Source organism: Homo sapiens, chromosome 1 (genome assembly GCF_000001405.40).
Source record: "Homo sapiens chromosome 1, GRCh38.p14 Primary Assembly".
NCBI classification, from domain to species: domain Eukaryota; kingdom Metazoa; phylum Chordata; class Mammalia; order Primates; family Hominidae; genus Homo; species Homo sapiens.
This window is the reverse complement of record NC_000001.11, coordinates 25,930,969-25,934,259: the sequence shown is the minus strand read 5'-3', so window position 1 is coordinate 25,934,259 and position 3,291 is coordinate 25,930,969. Positions and strand designations below refer to the sequence as shown.

Sequence of the window (3,291 nt, the reverse complement as noted above, 5' to 3'; positions counted from 1 at the left end):
GCGTCTAAATCATAACTGAGAGCTGAATACATTTTTCTCTCTTCTGATAAATACCATTTTTATCTTTGCCGAGCCCACACGTCCTCAGTCGACAGTGCTTGCTTTAGCAGTCCATGCCTGGACCTGGAGGGATAGTCAGGTGACAAAAGACCCCTCCCAAGCTCCTAGTGAGCCTCCCTCCCTGTGACCTGTTTGTCTTCCAACAGGGCATTCTCCTACCCACGAGCTAGCCGAAGCCACCTTCCAGGCTGTCACCACAATTTCCGCTTTTATTTTCCCCACTCTTCATTGCTTGGTGAGGGCTAGGGAGGCTTTGTGAGCCTTTGGGTCCCTCATGTCTCCTGGCAAAGGCTTGAATCCTTGAATCTCAGCAACCTCTGGACTTCAGTCTCCCCTTCTTTGACTCTTATTATAGGATGTGGAAAATTAGCAAAATGGGGAATTCAAGGAACTCCAAAAAGCAGCTTCATAAACATGAATTAAAAGAGACTCGACTCCTGAAAGGAATGATGTCATGCTCAGAAACCAGCCTGAAACTCGTGCTTTTCATCTCTAATCTTCTCCTGTCCAAAGCCTTAACTCCTCCCACATATCTCCTCTCCTTCTTCTTCCCATGAGAAAGGTCAGCATTATTATCATCATTTTACAGACAGGCAAATGAGCCCCGCTGGGGAGGGAGCCAGTGGCGCAGTCCAGATTAGGATGTGAGGCTCCCCTGAGGACAGGCTGGAGCCTGAGGTGTCCCTCAACTGCTTCATTATTTTAATCATTATGAATTTCTCCTTTTCAGTTAGCCTCTGTGCACGTGATAAGAAATCCTTGCCACCCACTATTGCAGACATCAAGTGTAAGGAAAGGCACTAGGGAAAAAAGTAAATCCTTTATTCTGCCGTTGGGAAAACAGGAGAATAACTGAGGTTAACTGGGAAAACAGAAAGGGTATGAGCCTCAGAGAAGGTCAGGAATACAGGACAGAGAATCAGAGCTGGCTCTGCCTCTCAGCTGGAGCCATTCGGAAATGGCACTGGGAAGCAAAGGATTTTTTTTTCTTTTTTGAGACGAAGTCTCACTCCGTTGCCCAGGCTACAGTGCAGTAGCACGATCTCAGCTCACTGCAACCTCTGCCTCCCGGTTTCAAGCGGTTCTCCTGCCTCAGCCTTCCAAGTAGCTGGGATTACAGGTGCCCGCCACCATGCCTGGCTAATTTTTGTATTTTTTAGTAGAAACAGGGTTTCACCATGTTGGCCATGCTGGTCTTGAACTCCTGACCTCAGGCAATCTACCCGCCTCGGCCTCCCAAAGTGCTGGGATTATAGGCATGAGCCACCGTGCCCAGCCAAAGCAAAGGATTTTTGGTTTCCAGCAGTGGAGGTGGATGGCACTGAGCCAGCTATAAGAAACGGTAAGAAAAAAGATTCTGAAGCTAGTCAGTCTCTATCCAATCCTGATTCTGCTACTTCCTAGCCATGTTACCCTGGACAAGTTACTTCGACTTTCTGAGTCTCAGTTTCCTTATGTGTAAAACAGGAATAATAATAGTATTTCCACTCGGCAGCATTATTGTAAGGATGATATATAAACAAGATGATATATAAAACATGCTTAGCACACTGTGCAGTACACAGTAGCTCTAATTATTGAATGTCCACAGTATGCCAGCATTATGCCCGTTACAGGAAGTGCTTATATGAATAAGGCAGATTCCTCACCTTCGAGGAGTTTATTGGCTTATGGATAGGACAGGCGAGCAAACATTTACTACACAGTACTTTGGGAGTGGTGCTGGCTAGAAGGAGTGGCACCGTCTGTCTACAGTTTTGGAATAGATCTTCCCAACTCTGGATAAAGTTAACTGTGTAAGAACAGAGACTGAACTCATGACCTTAAATAATGGGAACATAATAAAAAATAATTGTGGTATAGCAGCTGGCCATTTCCAGAGAGAGGGCGTAAATTGTCACCGCAGCCAGTGATTTCATTTTATCCTCCTCAAAGCCTTATAAGATTTGATGATGAGTAACTGAAGAGGGGAGTGTGGCTTTTTCTGGGGCCTTCAGACAAGTAATTGTCCCTCAGGCCCTGAGGGATAAAGATAAAGATAGGCAGGGTCAGTGCTATGGGTTATGTGCCCCCTACCTGTCCCATGGAGGGAAAACTAAGTAGCAAAATGGCCACAGGGTAATGTGGGGAGGCTGGTCAGAGCCTGAGGGATCTATAAGCTACCAGTAAGCAGATCATTTTTTTTTTTCCCCAGAGACGGAGTCTTGCTCTATTGCCCAGGCTGGAGTGCAGTAGCGTGATCTCGGCTCACTGCAACCTCCACCTCCTGTGTTCAAGCAATTCTGCCTCAACCTCCTGAGTAGCTGGGATTATAGGCGCCCGCCATCATGCCCAGCTAATTTTTGTATTTTTAGTAGAGATGGGGTTTCACCATGTTGGCCAGGCTGGTGCCCGGCCCAGATCATTTTTATGCTGTCAAATAATTTAGGAAAATGCCTTCTTGCAGGTGGAAGTGAAACTGTCTACCCTGCTCTCCCTTAGTAGGACATAGGGCAATGGAAGGAGAAGTGGAAGAGTGTGACAGAGGGCAGCCTGCCCCGTGGCTGTGCCAGTGATCTCTGCACACTGGGCTCCATCTAGGGCACAACCTAGCCTGGATCGGATACCCTGCTTTGTGTGTGCCATGTCATTTTTGTCTTTCCCCTCACATGCATATGATACTTTACAGGGCATAGAGTCCCGTCAGCCCTGAGAAGCAGGCACTTGTCACTTCTCAGGAAACTGAGACTCAGAGAAAGTAAGCAAACTATCCAAGATCAAATGATTAGAGAGTAGAAATCTTAAGACCAGAGCTCAGTTTGCTGGCTCTGAGACCAGTGCATCTACTGTTACAGATGCTTCCTTCCTTCCTTGGGGGTGTGGGTTTGGATTTTTGCTAAGAAGGAGTGGTTCCCCCAAGTGGGTCAATGGATCCTTGGAGACAAAGCTTCTCTCCTTTTCCTGATACAACTTTTATATGGGAGGTTTACAGGAACATCAGGAAGGCAGTTGAATTAGTCCATTCTCAAGCTGCTTATAAAGACATACCCAAGACTGGGTAATTTATAAAGTAAAAGAGGTTTAATGGACTCAGTTCCATGTGGCTGGGGAGGCCTCACAATCATGGTGGAAGGTGAAAGACGTATCTTACGTGGCAGAGAACAAGAAAGAAAATGAGAGCCAAGTGAGAGGGGTCTCCCCTTATAAAACCATCAGATCTCATGAGACTTATTCACTACCATGAGAACAGTA

At 46.4% G+C, this 3,291-nt stretch overlaps 1 annotated feature.

Moving 5' to 3' along the window:
* Positions 247-904: a transcriptional cis regulatory region, noted in NCBI's record as "candidate enhancer chr1.3691 targeted for multiplex CRISPR interference". NCBI's record gives its function as "positively regulates CD52 gene expression in K562 cells {active_cell/tissue: K562}" and the evidence as "EXISTENCE:mutant phenotype evidence [ECO:0000015][PMID:30612741]".